This window comes from Homo sapiens, chromosome 5 (assembly GCF_000001405.40).
Source record: "Homo sapiens chromosome 5, GRCh38.p14 Primary Assembly".
NCBI lineage: Eukaryota > Metazoa > Chordata > Mammalia > Primates > Hominidae > Homo > Homo sapiens.
This window is the reverse complement of record NC_000005.10, coordinates 151,768,694-151,788,594: the sequence shown is the minus strand read 5'-3', so window position 1 is coordinate 151,788,594 and position 19,901 is coordinate 151,768,694. Positions and strand designations below refer to the sequence as shown.

At 41.4% G+C, this 19,901-nt stretch overlaps 1 protein-coding gene and 1 long non-coding RNA gene across 4 annotated transcripts in view, besides 5 other annotated features; one reads left to right on the top strand and one right to left on the bottom strand.

Moving 5' to 3' along the window:
* The window catches only part of G3BP1 (G3BP stress granule assembly factor 1), a 40,832-nt gene extending 24,191 nt beyond the window's left edge, over positions 1-16,641 (bottom strand). The window contains exons 1-2 of one of the 2 annotated variants that reach the window (NM_005754.3): positions 16,559-16,641; positions 1,880-2,023 (exon numbers count right to left, since the gene is read on the bottom strand). In NM_005754.3, coding sequence (NP_005745.1) covers positions 1,880-1,974 — 95 coding nt within the window. In that variant the 5' untranslated portion in view covers positions 1,975-2,023; positions 16,559-16,641. The remainder of the gene's footprint in view (positions 1-1,879; positions 2,024-16,558) is intronic. The other variant, NM_198395.2, reaches the window with a different exon arrangement.
* Positions 16,015-16,084: a silencer, noted in NCBI's record as "silent region_16529". NCBI's record gives its function as "represses an Ori minimal core promoter by ATAC-STARR-seq in GM12878 lymphoblastoid cells {active_cell/tissue: GM12878}" and the evidence as "EXISTENCE:reporter gene assay evidence [ECO:0000049][PMID:35858748]".
* Positions 16,135-16,464: a silencer, noted in NCBI's record as "silent region_16528". NCBI's record gives its function as "represses an Ori minimal core promoter by ATAC-STARR-seq in GM12878 lymphoblastoid cells {active_cell/tissue: GM12878}" and the evidence as "EXISTENCE:reporter gene assay evidence [ECO:0000049][PMID:35858748]".
* On the top strand, positions 16,419-18,802 carry LOC100652758 (uncharacterized). Of its 2 annotated transcripts, none has more exons than NR_132345.1 (2): positions 16,419-16,892; positions 17,823-18,802. It is a non-coding gene; the product is annotated as an uncharacterized LOC100652758 (long non-coding RNA). The 2 variants fall into 2 exon arrangements; NR_132346.1 differs by lacking the exon at positions 16,419-16,892 and adding an exon at positions 17,087-17,281.
* Positions 16,673-16,967: an enhancer, noted in NCBI's record as "tiled region #5918; HepG2 Activating DNase unmatched - State 1:Tss, and K562 Activating DNase unmatched - State 1:Tss". NCBI's record gives its function as "activates a minimal TATA promoter and a strong SV40 promoter by Sharpr-MPRA in HepG2 and K562 cells {active_cell/tissue: HepG2 | K562}" and the evidence as "EXISTENCE:reporter gene assay evidence [ECO:0000049][PMID:27701403]".
* Positions 17,225-17,454: an enhancer, noted in NCBI's record as "active region_23468". NCBI's record gives its function as "activates an Ori minimal core promoter by ATAC-STARR-seq in GM12878 lymphoblastoid cells {active_cell/tissue: GM12878}" and the evidence as "EXISTENCE:reporter gene assay evidence [ECO:0000049][PMID:35858748]".
* Positions 17,833-18,554: an enhancer, noted in NCBI's record as "NANOG-H3K27ac-H3K4me1 hESC enhancer chr5:151149602-151150323 (GRCh37/hg19 assembly coordinates)". NCBI's record gives its function as "activates a minimal SCP1, AML or CMV promoter by ChIP-STARR-seq in naive H9 embryonic stem cells {active_cell/tissue: H9 hESC(naive)}" and the evidence as "EXISTENCE:reporter gene assay evidence [ECO:0000049][PMID:30033119]".
* Positions 18,803-19,901: the final 1,099 nt, after the last annotated feature.

The window sequence follows — 19,901 nt, the reverse complement described above, 5'->3', positions numbered from 1 at the left end:
CACACACACACACACACACACATATAAACTTAGCTGGGCATGGTAGTGCATGCCTGTAGTCCTAGCTATGTAGGAAGCTGAGGCAGGAGGATCACTTGAGCCCTGGAGGTCAAGGCTGTAGTAAGCTATGATCTCACCACTGCACTCCAGCCTGGGCAACAGAGTAAGACTGTCTCAAAAAAAAAGAAAGAAAGGGTAAAAACAGCTTTGAGACTTGTTTTATCACTTAATAGTCATGTGCATATGTACCTGCAAATTTTTAACCCCTCTGAGTGTATCTGCAAAATGAAGTTAACTCTCTTACAATGCCCTACCTTTCAGTAAAGATTTTTGTAATGATCAGGAGGAAATGAGAAAAAATGTTCTGGAAATTTTAAAGCCTTAAAAAAAAACCCAATTACACCTGTAATCCCAGTATTTTGGAAGGCTGAAGCAGGCGAATTGCTTGAGCCCAGGAGTTCGAGATCAGCCTGGGCAACATGGTAAAACTGTCTCTACAAAAAATTAGCTGGGCGTGGTGGATTGCACCTCAGTCCCAGCTACTCAGGAGGCTGAGGTGGGAGGATCGTCTGAGCCCAAGAGTTCAAGGCTGCAGTGAGCTGTGACCTTGCCACTGCACTCCAGCCCGGGAGACAGCTGAGACTTAACTCTCTCTCTCTCTCTCACACACACACACACATGCACACACACACACACACGAGATATATTCCATTGTCAGAGCAATGTCAAAACATTCATAAATTTTATTTTATGAATTGAAAATATTCATATTGAATACATTCATAAATTTTATTTTATACCTGATAATCATGTGGTATCCAATATGCAAGCTGGTCAAGGTGTAAGGGAAAAAATAGTTCTGGTCCAGCAAATACACATTTTGAAACTTCTATGAAATTATTCTAACAAGTCCACATAAATAGACAGTTTTGTATAAAGCGACATTGTAAGAGAAAATAATAGAAGCAATCTATAGATCCATCATTAGGAGATTAAAGTACACTACATCTCTATAAAAAGCTGTGTAGCCACTAAAATTAATGGGATACAAGTATTACCCTGAAAGATGACTCCAGATTATCAAGTAAGAAAGTTAAGACAGTATATTAAAACATGTTTCTATATATATAGAAAAATTGTTTCTGTGGTTTTACTACTTTCATAATTTATCTGTGTTCTAATTTTCAATAAGCATGCATCATTTCTACTAAAGACACTAATTTTTTAAAGCGCATCAACACAAAAGTATGGTATTACAGGAACAGTCATGGATTGTCTTCAATACATTCTTATTTTTTACATCCACCTCAGCTCCAGCAATCTTTAATACATTCTTAGTAAATAATGCATGACTATACCTTTACATTTCAATTGTTATTTTCCAATAATGTACAAGTTTAGATAACTTAGTTTAACTTTCAAAAATTATTTTTTGGGGCTAGGCGCAGTGGCTCACGCCTGTAATCCCAGGACTTTGGGAGGCCAAGGCGGATCAATCACCTGAGGTTAGGAGTTTGAGACCAGCCTGGCCAACATGGTGAAACCCCGTCTCTACTTAAAAAAAAAAAAAAAAAAAATACAAAAATTAGCCGGGCATGGTTGTGGGCACCTGTGGTCCCAGCTACTCAGGAGGCTGGGGCAGAAGAATCACTTAAACTGGGGAGGTGGACGTTGCAGTCAGTCCAGATCGCACCACTGCACTCCAGTCTGGACAACAGGGCGAGACTCTGTCTCAAATAAAAAATTGGGGGATATTTATATGTAAATAAGTATTATGCAACAACCCTACAAAGCATAAGATGATGAGTGGGAGAATCTCAAAGATAAGTACCACATACTAAAAGACAGCATTAGATGATGCAGGAGAAAAATGTCTTACCTATGCAGCATGTCTGGGGCCTGGTTCAGCAGTGTGTAATACTGTCTCACAAATTCCCGCCCGACCAGCAGGGGACTAGGCTTCTCCATCACCATTGCTTTGGTCAATTCAACCTGGGGGGAAAAGAGTCAAATATGTCCAAACCTGAAGGATCAAACACAGGGGAAAAGACCGAATCATTTAGCTGAAACCAACTCAGAGACAAGATCATTTCAGCAAGTCGTTTAAAACATGAACAAACATCATAAAAACAAACAGAGCCCATACAGACCAGTTGAGATTTTATACAAATGTATTGCAATCATATGAATACAAAAGGGGGAAATCATTATGAAGAATTCATCATTATCCCCAATATTCAAGACGTAAGAACCTCAAAGGTATATATTTCCAACATACTTCCCACCATAATTTTCTTGTTTTGTTTTTGAGACAGAGTCTCTCTGTTGCCCAGGCTGGAGTGCAGTGGTGCGATCTCGGCTCACCACAACCTCCACCTCCCAGGTTCAAGCGATTCTCCTGCCTCAGCCTCCATAGTAGCTGGGACTACTGGCAAGCGCCATCATGCCCGGCTAATTTTTGTATTTTTTAGCACGGGATTTCACTATGTTATCCAGGCTGGTCTCAAACTCCTGACCTCATGATCTGCCCGCCTCAGCCTCCCAAAGTGCTGGGATTACAGGCGTGAGCCACAGCACCTGGTAATTTTCTTAAGTTATTAAGCCCAATTAAGAGTGTTCCAGTTGTAAAGTTACAAGCACATTCTTATTTGAGGCAATATTAGATTCAAAGGCAATAATCTTAAACAACATAGTTTTGACATCCGGGGACAAACTATCACATTTTCTGGCCCATCTAAATCAGATAAACTTTTAGTATAGCATCTTTTAAAAAGAAACTACAAGACTAAAAATTCTAAATATGCTTACTACTTCATTCTATCATGTAATTAAAAAATTTCAAAATAAAATGGGGAAGTTAACAAACAAGATGTTTATACTCAAAATAATTCCTACTGTATCAAAATTGTGATCATGTAAAATTAACACCTTTGAATGCCAAGAAAGGCACCTGTCCCATAAGAAGTCCAATTATTGTAAGCTATTACCAAAAAACACTTTCTGAATAAAAAACCTGCAATGAGATCATCCCAGCATTTCATTCACGGGGGAAGAGATAAAATTATCCCAAACTTAAACATACAGGCAAACAGAGAATATATACAGATTTAACTACCGCAGAAAAGAAAGAAAAATTTTAGCTGTTTTTTTTTAAACAGGGGTAGACAAAATAGATTGACTCTGGTTGATCCATTTCTAAACAAGCAATTTGTGAAGATATATTTACTCTCATCTAGTTCCATCTTTGCATTATTCTTGAATATCTACCCCAATTAGTATTTATTTCACCAATGCCTGTTATTGTCCCCAAAACTACAGCCACTAAGATCAATATGAAGAAGCTTCCCAGTCATACTAGGAGTATTTTGCCTTCAGGCATGTGTATTGAGCATATCAGTAACAATCTAGATCCTAAGTCTTAGACTAATGTACTTTAAAAGTTGGCTGGTCACGGTGGCTCACGCCTGTAATCCCAGCACCTTGGGAGGCTGAGGCAGGTGGATCATTTCGTCATTAGTTTAACATTTTAACAGTTTACATCATTTTGCAAATTAGGGTCTCAATTAGCATTTAATTTTCCAAACATTCTACTTTGAGTTGAGACTGTCAACTTCAGAAACATGCAACAGCTGTTAGTCAAACCAAATTTTCAACACTCTTGTACTGAAGTTAAGTTTCAACATTAGATTTGCCTCAAATACGCTTATAGTTTCCCATTTACACTATAAACAGTTCCATTTAAGTGGCAGCTGGCTCCTAAAGTCACTCCTTTAATGTAAATAAATATATTATCTATTGATAATAAATATCCACCAAAGAGCTCAAGGGAAACAGTAGCAGTACTTTTTTTAAATTCCACATGACTAAATATGTACTTCCTTTTAGTAAAAAAAATGAAAGTATACTGCTTCACTATTTAAAAAAAATCTAAGTGCTAAATTAAAATAATCAAAGGCTTCACAAATTCTACATTAGTTATGGTCAGATAAAACATACTGAATAAAGAATACAAACTTTTTCCCAAATATTAAGTTTTTTAAGAGCAGAGACCATTTCTTACCCAACGTTTTAGCCCCAAAACTTAATGTCTGACACATAACAGACACAATTTTTTTATTCAACCTTCTCACACAAAGGGAAGAGGTTAGAATTTTATACTAGCAGAGTTGATTTCTGACCATCTAACTATCAAAACTGACTTAGCAGGTTTTCCAGCATTTAGATTAAGATAGCAGACATAACACTGTTTAATTACTAAAAAATGTTGTTTGAGATTAGTCTGGGCAACAACAAAGCAAGACCCTATCTCTGAAAAAATGAAGAAAAAAAAATTAGCTAAGTGTAGTGGCACATTCCTGAAAGTCTCAGCTACTCAGGTGGCTGGGGCACGAGGAATGCTAGGGCCCAGAAGTTTGAGGCTGCAGTGAGCTATCATCATGCCACTGCACTTCGGCCTGGGTGCCAGAGCAAGACCCCATCTCAAAAAAATAAAGTACAAACATAAATATAAATATAAATAAATTAAAAAATGTTGGCCAGGTGTGGTGGCTCACGCCTGTTAATTCCAGCACTTTCGGAGGCCGAGGCGAGCGGATCACAGAATCAAGAGATCGAGACCATCCTGGCCAACATGGTGAAGCCCCATTTCTACTAAATATACAAAAATTAGCTGGCCGTGGTGGCACGCGCCTGTAATCCCAGCTATTCAGGAGGCTGAGGGAGGAGAACTGCTTGAACCCGGGAGGCGGAGGTTGCAGTTAGCTGAGATCGCACTACTGCACTCCAGCCTGGGCGACAGAGCGTGACTCCATCTCCAGAAAAAAAAGAATGTTTAGGTAAGTTCTTCACTGATCAAAGATCACACACTGAAAGTTTAGCGAGTAATTTTGTTATTCTCAGTTAAAAAAAAAAAATTGGGGCTGGCGCCTGTAATCCCAGCACTTTGGGAGGCCAACAGGGACAGATCACTTGAGGCCAGGAGTTTGAGATGAGCCTGGCCAACATGGTGAAACCCTGTCTCTCCTAAAAATACAAAAAATTAGCCAGGCATGGTGGCAAACTCAGGAGGCTGAAGCACGAGAATCACTTGAACCTGGGAGGCAGAGGTTGCAGCGAGCCAAGATTACACCACTGCACTCCACCTTGGGTGACAGAGCAAGACTCTGCCTTACAAAAAAAAAAAAATCTGTTTATTTGATCATTCACAGCAAAAAAAAAGAAAGAAAATGTAAATTTTGGCAATTTGAATCTATATAGTGTAATAAATCCTAAAAAATTGTCATCTCTCTGAAATCTTCATCTTTTCTGGACCAAAAATAAAACACAAGCTATGAGAAATGTGAACATAATACCTCTTGAGAAAGAATTCTCACTCTCTCAATTCTATCAAATCTAAAAATAATTAAAGTAAGCAAATTTAAACAGATTAGTCACAGAAAGGCTGGGTGCAGTGGCTCACGCTTGTAACCCCAGCACTTTGGGACACCAAGGCAGGCGGATCACGAGGTCAGGAGTTCAACACCAGCCTGACCAACATGGCGAAACCCCGCCTCTAATAAAAATACAAAAAATTAGCCAAGCATGGTGGCGTGCGCCTGTAATCCCAGCTACTCAGGAGGCTGAGGCAGGAGAATCGCTTGAACCTAGCAGACGGAGGTTGCAGTGAGCCGAGATCACGCCACTGCACTCCAGCCTGGGCGACAGAGCGAGAGTCCATCTCAAAAAAAAAAAAAAAAAAAAAAAAAAGATGAGTCACAGAAAAGACAGTGTTTTGCCAGTTACTAATCCACTGTGACAGATATTTTATGAAATCTATGAATTACCTCTGGGGGGGAATAATTTTTTTAAAAAATGTATGCATTATCAATGAAAACACATGCTAATATCAGAGGGGAAAAAAAAGAAAATATATGCTAAAAATTTCCAAGATTCTCCCTCATTTATAAACACTCTCAGCACACTAAGTCCTTTTCTAAAGATGTTTTTAAAATTTCTACAACTATGGACTTTGGCTGTTCCTAATATAACAGCATACACCAATGGATGTTGAAATATAAATAATATTCTTAAGAATGATATACACTGATACCAGTAAGATCTAGAAAGATATTATTAAACATGACCTTGAGTTTACCAGTTCTAACTGAACCATCCAAATTTAAGACAAAGTTTGAGAGTTGTCAAAGGCTACCTTTAACATGAGTAAAATATGACAAATGAACTTTAAAACTGAGTGTTATTTTTAAATAGTGAATAAACATTTCAAAGACAACAAAAGGAAACCCCCAAAATTTATTTAACCAACTCTCACTAGGGAAACTTCTCCAACACCATTCACTTGCTGTGACCTTGAGCTAGTAACTTAATCTCTCTCACCTCAATTCTTCTGTCTGTAAAATTAAAATCAGAATTATAACAATTAAGTGCCTAACAGTAAGCAGGAAATAAATGTTAGCTATTATTACTATCAGTATCAAAATTATTAACTATAAAGAAGAAAACCATTTCTACATCCCACTCTCTTGTGTCACCTGGATGGATATTTTCCTTATTTTCCTAGAGATTAAAATGGAGAATTTCCTAAAGGAGTTAAAAAAAAAAATCCCAAGCATTTAACATAAAACTGTATCTACCTTTTGGATGAACTACAGTTGAGCCTTCAACAAGGTGAGAATTAGGGGCATGGATAGCCCAGAGTTGAAAATCTGTGTATAACTTGACTCCTCAAAATTTTAACTACTAATAGCACACTGGTGATCAGAAGCTTTACCAATAATATAACCAATCATTTAACTATTTGTAGGTTATATACTGTATTCTTACAATAAAGCTAAAGAAAATAAGAAAATCATTTGCAAAATACATTTTCAGTATTGTATATGTTTATGCTGTCTGTTTAAAAGACAAATCGTCTCTCTGAAATGACAGGTAACCACAGCTGCACACCTCAACCTATGGTACAGATCAAGCAATTTAATATTTCCTTGTAATGTCATAACTTTTCTGTTTCTTGGGAGTGCTTTCAGCATCATTAGTGATATTTCGTATGGGTCCCATGGTGTTATTCAAGGCTTTCAGTATTGTACTAAACATGATGAAAACTACTCATTGAAGAGAAATCACTTTTTACTGCATCCAAATTTACTGGAGAGAAGAACTGCTCACATAAAGATGATTAGCATCACACAGTGTTGTAAGCAGATACTTGCAACACAAGCACATTGCAATATTTACAGGAGGTGGCTAGGAAAAAAATTATAGTACAGTATATACTAAAGTTCATTTTATGCAGTTATAACTTAATACTGTATCTTTACATTTGTTTACATTTCTCTTGACTGCAAATGGTGCCCTGAATGGTCTCAAAGTGTTTGTGTGGGTTCATTTTGATAAATTTTAACTCTGTAATAAATCTGTAATAGACTTGTGTATATTTTACAGTAGTAAATAACAGTATCCACATATATTTTATGCATTCATGAAATACCTTTTTCTTAATTTTTTTTATTATTTCTAGGCTATTCAGTTTGTGAGCTTTTTCAAATTGTTACAAATCTCCAAAAAAAATTTTCCAATATATTCATTGAAAAAAATCTGCTCAAGTGGACCTGAGCAGTTCATACCCACGTTTGTTCATGGTTCAACTGTACTACATTAACTTTCAAATTTTCCACTTGATCCCAAGTTTCCAGATTGCAAAGCAACTTCAAAGAAACTCCCCATCAATAATTGTGCTGAAGTTAACAGAAAAATGTTAAGGGTCTAAAGAACTATGAGCATTATCAGCCAGGCGCGGTGGCTCACACCTGTAATCCCAGCACTTTAGGAAGCCAAGGTGGGCGATCATGAGGCCAGGAGATAGAGACCATCCTGGCTAATGCGGTAAAACCCCGTCTCTACTAAAAATACAAAAAAACTGGCCAGGCATGGTGGTGGGCGCCTGTAGTCCCAGCAACTCAGGAGGCTGAGGCAGGAGAACAGAGTGAACCCGGGAGGCGGAGCTCTTGCAATGAGCCAAGATCGCACCACCGCACTCCAGCCTAGGCGAATGAGCAAGACTCCATCAGCTAGCGGCGGAGGGGGAAATAACTATGAGCATTATCCTCCAATTTTTAACAGACGGGCAGGGAAACATAAAGGCAGCCCATACTCCACCTGCATTTTTAATGGCAAAGCTCACTCCAACAAAATAAAAAGTAGCCAAATGCCTTCATAGCCCATTTTCAGTGCCAGTTTTATAGTAAGAAAATATAATATCATATAATAAAAGATTAGTAGAATGTATATAAACCTGCATACAAATCACTAAAAGAGTAACCCAAGAGAAAAACAGGCAAATGAAATGGAGCAGCCAATTCTCAGGAAAGTACTAAATGGACAGCAAACAAAACAGAGTAAGTAACCAGGAAAATGCAATTAATAAAATCACTTCTCACAGGAGATACCTTACAAGAGATGCGCCAAAGTATTAAAATCTCAGTCAACACCAAACATTGGCAACCAAGTAAAAAAAAGAGCCTACAGGACTGCTGAAGATGAAGTCTCAACTGGTACAACCACAGTGGAGAACAATTTTGCACTATCTAATAAAATCAAAAACACTCTGATGAAAATCTAGCAGTTCTCTTCTAGGTACATATACAAAAGAAACTCACCCAAGACAAAACAAACTCACACAAGACAAAAACAAATAACTGCCACCCTATCTGTAAAGTATAACATTGATAACAATCTACATGTCCATCAAATAAGGAATGGATATTAAGTTGTGGTTTATTCACATTAGGGAAACTTCTATACCTAAGACAACCATATGAGAGCACTTTTAAGATTGAAAACAACTACTATTAATAGTGTCAGGTTAACTGAAGTGAATCAGGACTGTCCCTGGCAAACCAAGACATATGTCACCCTATTTATGCCTGCCAGAAAGCGAGCACATAACTCAAAAACATTATTAAAAAGAAAAATCAGTTGCCAAATATGTACTGTGTGATAACGTTACATATATTTAAAAGTGTTTTTAGTATACACAAATACCAGATACCGTACATAGATACACAGGCTAGACATAAAGAGACAAATGGATCCATGAAACAGAATGGAGTTCACTAACATATCCACATGGACAACTATATTTCCAAGAAAAGTGCAAAGACAATTCAGTGGAAAAAGTATACTCTCTTCAACAACTGGTACTGAAACAATTAGATATCATATGGAAAAAACAAAAAAAAACCAGAACCTCAATTCATGTCTCACACCACATACAAAATTTAACTCAAAATGATTCAGTGTAATCAAAGTGTAAAACCCAAAACTGAACTTCTAAAGAAAACTTGCATGACACTAAGCAAAGATTTTAGACACACCAAAAGCAAATGAAGAAGAAAGCGAATTGATCACGTAGACTGCCTCAAAATTAAAACCATCTGCCCTGCAAAGACACCATCAAAAGAATGAAAAGGCACGCAGGCAAGCCACAGATTAGGAGTAAATATTTGCAAGGCATTTACCTGATTGATTGACTGACTGATTTTTTTTTTTTTAGAAGGAATCTTCCACTGTCGCCCAGGCTGGAGTGCAGTGGCGCTCACCGCAACCTCCACCTCCCAGGTTCAAGCAATTCTCATGCCTCAGTTTCTCAAGCAGCTGGGATTACAAGCACACACCACCACGCCCGACTAATTTTTGTATTTTTAGTAGAGATGAGGGTTCACCATGTTGCCCAGGCTGGTCTCGAACCCCTGGCCTCAAGTGATCCACCTGCCTCGGCCTCCCAAAGTGCTGGGATTACAGGTGTGAGCCACTGCGCCTGACCCATATCTCTAATTTTTAAAATACCTCTATCCAGAATATATAAAGTACTCTCATGCCTGTAATCCCAGCACTTTGGGAGGCCGAGGAGGGCATATCACCCGAAGTCAGTAGTTCGAGACTAGCTTGGCCAACATGGTGAAACCCCATCTCTACTAAAAATACAAAAATTAGCCGGGTGTGGTGGTGGATACCTGTAATCCCAGCTACTCAGGAGGCTGAGACAGGAGAATCACCTAAACCCAGGAGGCAGAGGTTGTAGTGAGCAGAGATGGCGCCACTGCACTCCAGCCCGGGCAACAAGAGCGAAACACTGTCTCAAAACAAAAAAATTAATAATTAAGTAACCAATCCCATAAAATATGAGCAAAAGACTTAAAGATATTTCGCCAAAGAAATTATATGAATGCCAAATGAAAAATGCTGATCACTAGCAATTACAGAAATGCAAATTAAAACCTGTGAGGTACCACTAAACACCTGTCACAATGACTAAAATTAAAAAGACTGACCATACACACTGTTAGCCAACATACTGGCAGAACTGGAACCCCCCAAACATCGCTGGTGGCAATGTAAAATGGTACAACCACTGTGGAAAACAGGGAGTTTCTTTAAAAGTTAGGCATACATCTACTACATGATCTAAACATTCCCCTATTAAGCATTTACCCAAGAGAAATAAAGGCGTATACCCATACAAAGACTTGTACACAAAGTTCAGAAGCTTTATTTGTAACAGTCAAAAAGCTGGAAACACACAGCTTCTGCCGTTTTTCAATGCCCACCAACAGGTAAACCAAAAAATTGTGATATGCCTACACAACAGACTAGCACTGAGCAATTAAAAAAAGAACATAATGTATTTACAAAAAAATTCTAAAAAACGCAAAGTAATCTACAGTGATAAAAAGATCAAGGATTTCCTGCAGGGAGAAGGGTGGAAGGAACAAGCAAGAAAGAGGGAAAAGGGACATGAGAAAACTTTTGGGGGTAATGGATAGGTTCACAATCTTGATTGTGGTGATGGTTTCATGGGTATACCTTCTTTTAAGAGTCTCCTGTGTCGCCCAGGCTGGAGTGCAGTAGCATGACCATAGGTCACTGCAGCCTCAAACATCTGGGCTCAAGTAATCCTCTCTGCTGCCTCAGTCTTTTGAGAAGCTGGGATTACAAAAGGTGTCTGAAATTATCAGGCAGTACATTTTAAAAACATGCAGTTTATTGTCAATTATACCTCAATAAAGCTATTTTTAAAAATTCCCCATCAATAAAACAGCCTGGAAAGATGTGAAAAAGATCCCTGGAAGGAAGGGAATGGAAGCCCGTATAGAAAAAAAGGAGTCTTAGAGGGCAATGCAAAATGTCAAATGTTAATTCTGAGTACGATAGTATTTAAGTGGTCTTTTTACTTTAAAAAAGTTGTCAAAAACACCAAGGAAAAACAGCAAGTGTTTGTGTGTACTAACTTGAGAATATATTAAATTTTTGTAAATTTTGTTTCAGGATTATGTCATGTATTCAAACATTTGATATCTGGTTCTCTAAATCGTGGGAATTTAGAAACAAAATCTTTTCCCAGAACTGGAGTAACATGAATACAGAAGCCAACATCTGTGCTCAGAGCAAGAAAAGTATCAACATCACTGGGCCTACTGTCAATCTATTTTTCCAAACTCTTCGCATTTACCACCTGTCACCTCCCTTCACAATTCTTCCTGACGCCTCCTTGGAGAAATGGTTGATTCTGGACCTGAGACAGGCAAAATGCAAGATGAGCCTGAAATACCTGGTAATTAATGAAAGAAAAAACATGCTTTTAAAAAACAGATAAGATAGGGAAGTGTCAAAAGGACAAAGGAGCCAAAAAAAAAAAAAAAAGCTGGAACAACATGAACAACAAAATAAACTGTGGCCAGCACAGTGGCTCACACCTGTAATCCCAGCACTTTGAGAGGCCAAGACAAGAGGATTGCTTGAGCCCAGGAGTGTGAGACAGCCTGGACGATATTTTATAAAAATATAAAATAAATAATAATCAAAAATAAGTAAACATCAGCAAGGATAATTGTGGATTACAACCCAAAGAATAAAATTAATATCCGTGGTCTATAGTGATATAAATGAAAAAAAGAAAAAACATGAAGAATACACAAATCTTCCTCACAGAAAATTTATACTGTAGAAGGAATGAGGAAAATAAAAAAAATCACCATTAGAACCCCGAAGTAATAATAGCTGCAGACGAGATCCATTAAAATGCTAAAATTAAGGAGGGGAACTTTATTTCCATGGCTTCGAAGCATCTCCCCCAAAATAATAACAGTAGCTTTAATATACTTCCACAAATTCACATTCTCCTCCCTCTAGAAAGTAGAGCCTAATTCCCCTCTCTCCTTGAGTGTGAGCTGGACTTGGTGACTAGCATCTAAGGAATAGTATCTAAAGGGGAAAAAAACACTAACCTGACAGATACCACCTGAACCAAATCATCAGGTTAAATTCAACCAGTTATATATTATGGACCCCCAATCTGATGTGATAAGGGTAATTTCTGTGGTATTCTTCCCCCAAAAATCTGTAACTTCAGTCTAATCCTTAACATCAAATCCAAATGAGATCAAGTGTCATGGTCACGAAAGACAAAAGGAAAGACAGAAACTGACACAGATCAGGAGACTACATACAATGTGGCATCTTGGACTGGATCCTAGAACAGAAAAAGGACATTAGTAGAAAAACTAAGGAAATCCAAATAAAGTCTTTCATTAACAGTATTTTATCGATGTTAATTTCTCAGTTCTGTTAAATGTACTTGGATTACATAAGATGTTAACAGTGGATAATGGGTATTCAAGACCTCTCTATTGCAACTCTTCCACAAATCTTACTTTATCTCAAAAATACTGTTTTCCTGAAAGAAAAAAAACTTCAGGAATCAGAATACTTAACAACTATCTTTTATCTTAGTGTATCCCTTCCCCACTCCAAAGTTAAAACCTACTCAGGTTCACAATTTAAAAAAATCTTTGTTCTTTCTCATCACGTGAAAAGATATGTTACAGTTAATACTAATGCTCATCCGCAAAATTCTTAAACAGATCAAGACAGGTGGATACACTCCAGGGAAATCTAGGCAACCTCAGTGCAGAAACAAGGGTGTACTTAAGGCACAGCCTATGGCTTTGCATAAACAGCATATGGGAGAAGCCTGCAAGGGCAGGCAGGTGTCACATTCATACATTCCAGATTCAAAATCCCTCTAAGATTTTTCAATTAAGGAAATAAGCTGGCTATAGTACCCTATTAGGTACCACATGCTTTTCAAAATAGTTTTGACAATTCGGTTTCAGAGCTCCAATTCACTTTTTAGTAAAAGTATGGTAATACCAAAGATGTGTGAAAGCACTCTCTAAATATGCAAAAGGTTACACAAATACATAATGATGCTTTATATAGCCAGTGAAGTTAATAGCCACCAAAGATTACATCCCTACTAAGTAGATGTGTATACCATCCAGGAAGCCAAATTTCTGTCAATCATCTTTAATCTTTACTTTTGATTAAGTACCTAAGATACAACACACATACCAAGAACTTATTACATGACAGACTGGCCACCTGACAGAAGAGGGACTCTATCACAAAGTCGCCTAAAGACCTTATTTACTAAGCTACAGGCTGTGAGGGCAATTTTTTTGAAATTGCTTTCCACCTTGTAAGACAGAATATTAAGACACTATTCGTGTGTGTGAATTATTCCTACTCTTAACCCTATCACCTGGCTTGCAACTTGACCTTCCCAACTAAAGACAGACAGGATGTCCAAGAATACTTTTTTAAAAAAAGTAAATAGCTGATTTCTGAGATATAAAATTATAAACCTAGTGTGCCACCACATTGTGATCACCAACTACATGTAAGATAATAGTTGCTGAATCTAAATTCAACTCCAGGGCTTGTACTGGAGTACTGGAAGGGCAGTACTGCACTACCAGAGATTTTTCCCACTTGCTTTTGACAAATTACTGGGGGGCGGGCGAGGCTTTCCTTTTTTTTTTTGACCTACCTACTTCCACAATTATCCATTCTTCTTTGTAAAGTCAGTAATAGTTTCGTCCAAGGAAGCCAAAGCACAATATAATTAAACAAACATACAATGCCTATTTAAATTCTGAAAGTTAAAAAAAAAATCAATTTGCAAAATGTTAAAAGACCAAGTGGGCAGTTTTATCAGACTGACAAAAATAAAGAAAAAAAATATAAAATTGGCTTTAGTCACAAATGTAAGCTTTATGTTAAATTTTATCTTTTAACACTAGCCCCATCAGTCCTAAGGACGATATAAAATTCACAAACTTTTACAAAAACTTAAAACTGCCTTCTGCCGTTCACTTTCTATGCAAAATACTAGAACGAGTGGGAAAAAAAAAAACCATAAGTTACAAAAGAAAAACTGCTCTAAGTAGGTCACAAACAAACATTACCAAAATCTCCTAATGTTCCCCTGGTGCAGTGTCAGCTCAGGAACAGCAAACTGAGTTAAACAAAGAACTGTCTACTTTTCTACCTGTAAGAGGTACAAAAGCTTAGACTTTTGTACCGGTAAGCAGCTCCAACAAAACTGACGTATGACTTGGTAGGGATGTAGGGCAGCCTTGCCAAGCCTTACATTACCACAATTTGCTTCAATTCACTTGTTCCTGATAAATGCACAAGTAATCAGTTAGAGCACCAGTTTGTGAAATAATCACGTAATTTTCATGTTCCTGCCCAAGTGATAACCATTTGCCTGAGGCCAAGAACTGTATTTTTTTAATATTTTAAGTAGAAACTAACGAAATTTTCCCTCAATAATGTGTAAGGTAATTTCATTCTATTTTGCCTCAAGCAGTAATAAAATTAGCTGGACTCAAGCTTAAACAGTTTAAATGTAGGTCATTCTAGTGTTTTTCCATTTGACAACTTAAATTGCTCAACTTTAAGTCTAAGTTAAAATGCTAATTCCATAGTTAACCAGTCTGTAAGGGCAAGTAACCGGAATCGCCACACCAGCAAAGTTCCAAGTAAATGTTACTTGGAACATTATTATAATACTGTTATAGAAACATGTTTATAGAAAGGGTTTCCAGAACACGATTATAGAAATCTTTATGTTTATAGAAGTGTTTCTATAACATAGAAGATTTATTTCACTAAGCCAAGGAGTATGTTGGCTTTTAAATAATCTAAAAGATGGTAACTACTAGAAAAATATAAGCTCCAGTCCCTGAAGAAAAGCATCTTGTTTCTGCATATACACAAGAACCCAGCAGAGTAAATGCTAAATAAACGGAGTGTACACAAACTTTCATCCACAGATCTCGACTGTCACAGTTGTTTTTTCCAACACATCTCCAACACCAGTAATTCATCCAGCATGACACGCTCCACAGAGGTCCAAATAGTATACTGTAACTGGGCGCCAACCTTTCTATTCCAATTCCGTATTTTAACCCACAGATGCTAGTGAGATCTTAAATTCGTCGCTTTGCACCTCATTCCCTTCAACTATAAAGTGAATCTTCTCAAGGTCTTTCTGCAAAAGTCTCCTCCAATTAAAAAAAAAGTAGAGAAAAAAAAATTCAACGTCTAAAACCGGAGCCTAACTTCCCGCTGGCGGGAATTTCCCATCAGCAATCTGAGATTCAAACCCGATGAGGAACACAGTCCATGTTCATTTGCACTTACTCATCGTTTTCCCTACTTTTTTCCAGAAGCTACGGTGGCGGCACATCTACCCAGGGCCTGTACAAGTACACGTAGAAAGGAAGCCCAAACCCTTTTCCTTTGTCACATTCCCACTTCCAACCCTTGTCTCCCTGGAAGCCCAGAACTAGCCCAAGTACAAATGCCGCTGCAGCCTTCTCGGCAGGTGGCCTTTTGAGGCTGATGCTGCCCCGAGGGACAAGTGCTCTGGGGGCAAAGACTAAAAACAGGCTTGGGAAGCGGGGAGCTCGGAGTCAGAGGGCCCGGCGTCAACAAATCCCCGCCCTTCCCGTGCGTGCCTGTGACCCCGCTCTCCAAACCCGTGCCTTGGGCCGCTAAGGAAGGAGGATAGCCGTACCCACCTCGCCAGCTCACTGCAAGAATCAAATGAAAGGCAGAAAAGTGGCTCCGCACAGTGCCGGACACACAGTGAGGGCGTGGAAAGAACATTGGTTGTTACTACCACTCCGTGCACTCGCTGCTCCCTCTTTGCTCTCTGCAAAACCGAAGGCGCTTCTGCGACGCGCGGACCGCAAGACTCCAATCAGACTTTAGTGCTGCCCCCACCCTAAACGAAAGCCTCCTTCTGGTCCGAACCGACTGGATCCCTTGGCCAGGGGAGGAAAAGGTGCCGCGGGCGCGTGGCGGAGAGGGTGGCGGGCGGGAAACGCTGGGCGCGGGACCCCTGGCCCCAGAGACCGCCCTGGGGCCCAGGCGGCGGCCGCGGCTTACTCCTGCCCCGCGAGGCCGTTGGACGCAGCACGCGCACGCGGCGGACACGGCCACGCGCCCCAGCCGGGACGGGAGCGGGAGCGAGGAGCCGCCGCGCGCCCGTCCGTCCGCCGCGCGCGCCTGCGGCCGTTGGGGTGGGGGTTGGGGTGGGGGACGCGACTGGCGCGGCCGCCGCGAGCGCCACTCAGACTTCTCCCTCTCACAAGTGCTGCGGCTCGGCTTAGTCCTCTGGCCTCCCTGCCCCGCCCACACCCCGGCGTACCTACGCGGCTGAGCTGGAGAGGAACTAGCTCTGCACCACAGCACCGAGGATAGTACAAACCCCTCACGCAACTGCGTCCGCACACACGCGTGCTCCGCCGCCGGTCTATATAACTGCCACTCACCCTAACTTGTTGCGGCCAGGTCGGGCGACGGGATGACCAATCCCGACCGCGTCCTCAGGGCTCTTCGAACAGTAATTGGGCACTGACTCGGGGATGAAGGCGTGGCTCTTGATTGGCTTTGACTCCTGCCTATGAGACTGTGAGGATCTCGTTTCCCTAGTAACAGATCGGCACTAAGAGAGACCAATAACCGAAAAGTACAATAGAAAGGCGAGTGAGCAGTTCTTTGACTGATACTCAAAGTAGCCAATAAATGTGTGGGGCTGCTCTTATTCGTTAACACGTCTTCCCCTGGGCGGAGATCCGTTTTCCATGCAGGAGCGGTTGCGCCACAAGGTGGGGCCCGTGTACTTTGGGGAAGTAAACCCCTAGCAACTAGGAGGCGGGCGTCCGAGAGGCCAAGACAGCCTGTGGCCAATCGCAACGCCGGAAGGAGCTGATAGACACGGAGGTTGCTCTGCTCGGAAGAGACCGAGCCCCAGGGCCGCCGTGCCCTCTGGGCGGTTGTGAGGCTGTGCAGCCTGCGGCTTCTGCCCTCTTTCTTTCCCTGACTGGTTGGGTCCGGCCTCCGAGGCCTGTACCCCGCCTTTTCCGCATAGGTTTGTACCTGGCGAACCAACTAGTAAAGTTTCCCGGGTTGTTTTCTTTTTATTACAACTTTTTTCTTACGTGCGGCGGCCAAGGGCCTTGCTGCTCTCACCATTACTCAGCACTGCTGCGGGGCAGAGGAAGGAGGGTCGTTCCTGCGCCGCCCGCAGGCTCCCGCCGGAAGGTCGCCGGTGGAAGGCCTGAGAGTGCGCCCTTCCGCCAGGCGCTTCTTGGCGGGCGCTGCGAGGCGGCCGCGGGCGTGTGGCGAGGCTCCCTTTGTGGCAGCTGAGGCACGGTGGTCCGCGCGTGCTCCAGTGGAGTGTGGGCCCTCGCACCACGTCCCGAGCTGCACCACTATTGTTCAGCCTCGAATTGCCGCGGGTGGGGGCTTATTCTCGTCGCTACGCCTTTAAAAGGCAACTCGTCCCCTCCTCCTGGCGTTTCAGGCACTGGCGGGGCTACAACTCAAGGCTGGCCGGCCCTATTTCTATGGAAATAGCTTTGGTTCCCAGCCGTCCGGCACAGACACGCCCCGGTTTGTTCTCGTTCCAGGCATGTGACCAGGGTCTCCCGCGGAGTTTTGCTGAGAATTTTGGAAATGAAGCATGTGGAGCGCCTATGTCGGGGGAGAGAGGCCGAGCTGAAGGAGCACGGGCGCCGGCCTCGGCCTCTGGGGAGCCGGGCCCGCTCGCCTCCCTGCGCGGGGCTAGCCCGAGCCTGGAACTCGGGAGGCCCAGGAGCGAAGTGAAAGCCCCTTCTGGTCCCCCAGGGCTCCACTCCCGCAGCAGCCCGGCTCCGTCGGCGTCAGTGGAGCCCCAGGCCTGGGTCCGAGATGAGCGAGACGCTGCTCTGGCTCGCGGTCGCCCGAGCGCTCCCAAAACCAGGGAACAGGCCCCAGGAGAGAAGCCCCTAGAAGTTTCCTGGAGCAGGGAGTCTCCTGTATCCTGTTAGCTCTGCAAAGGAATCTGGACTTTATTCTGAGGGCCTTGGAGAACCCCTGCAAAGTTTTTTAAAAGGTGGACTAAGAGATTGGCATTTCACAACATGACTCTCCGAATTGAAACACTAAGAAGATTGGCGAAATTTAACATTTACAGATTAGTAATTTAACCCAGGTGACTCGCGATGAGGGACATGGCTACCCTTCACTTTTGGAGGGAGTTTTAAGTGATACAGATCTTTTTGCCAAGCAATTTTTTTTTTTTTTTTGAGACGGAGCGTCGTTCTGTCGCCCTGGCTGGAGTGGAATGCCGTGATCTCGGCTCACTGCAACCTCCGCCTTCCTGAGTTCAAGCGATTCTCCTGCCTCAGCCTCCCTAGTAGCTGGGATTACAGGCGCGCGCCACCAGGATCTGCTAATTTTTTTGTATTTTTAGTAGAGACGGGGTTTCACCATGTTGGCCAGGCTGGTCTCGAACTCCTGACCTCAGGTGATCCACCTGCCTCGACCTCGCAAAGTGCTGAGATTAACAGGCGTGAGCCACCGCGCCCAGCAGCAATTTAAAAATCTAATAAAATTGTGCATATCCCCCAAAACAATAATGTCACTTGGTTGATAGCCACATTTGTTTACAAAGGCATGTGCCAAGACTTTCACTGCAGCTTTGTCAGCATTGCTAGAAGATTTAAAACCCGAACACTTAATGTTCATCAATTGATAAGCTGTTTTAACAGTGATATACACGTAATATAGAATATTATGCAGCATGCCGGGCGCGGTAGCTCACGCATGTAATCCCAGCATTTTGGGAGGACGAGGTGGGTGGATCACCTGAGGTCAGGAGTTTGCGCGACCAGCCTGAGCAACATGCGAAACCCCGTCTCTACAAAACAAATTCAAAAACTAGCCGGATGTGGTGGCACACGCCTGTAATCCCGGCACTTTGGGAGGCTGAGGTGGGAAAATCACTTGAGCTCAGAAGGCAGAGGTTGCGGCAAGCGGAGATCTGCACTCCAGCTTGGGCACCAAAGTAAGACTCTGTCTCAAAAAAAAAAAAAAAAGAAAAAGAATTTCGTCTTTAAAAAAAAAAAAGAAAACTCTGCAGAGTTACTAATAGTCATTGCAGAATTGTTTGTAGTAGAAAGAGCCAGAAAACAACCGAAATATCTGGCTGAATGAAACTGGTTAGATAGAGCACTGCAAAACAGTATACTTACAGTAGACTGTCATGCAGCCATACAGAAAATGGGGTAGATCTACTTGTATAGTTATAGAGCAGTCGCCAAGAGATATCAGTAAATGAAGGAAGCAAAGTGCAGAATAATGGGAAAAGTATTCCTGGGTTTGTATAATAAAGGAAGAGGGATATCATGGGGTGATTATGTCCATTAAGACATATGTATTGCTTTAGTTATCTGCACTACACATTTGTTCCCATATGTTTTTGCTGTTATACATGCACAGGTTATGTCTGGAAGGAGTCACAAGAAAATGTTAATGAATATTAATGATTGCTAAGGGAGACGAACTTTGTCTAGGACAGCAGAGAGTCTTAGTTTTCACTGTGTACCCTATAGTACTGTGTGATTTTTTTTTTTTTTTTTTGAGACAGGGTCTCACTCTGTCACCCAGCAGGAGTTCAGTGGCACAATCATAGCTCACTGTGACCCCGAGCTGCTGGGCTCAAGCAA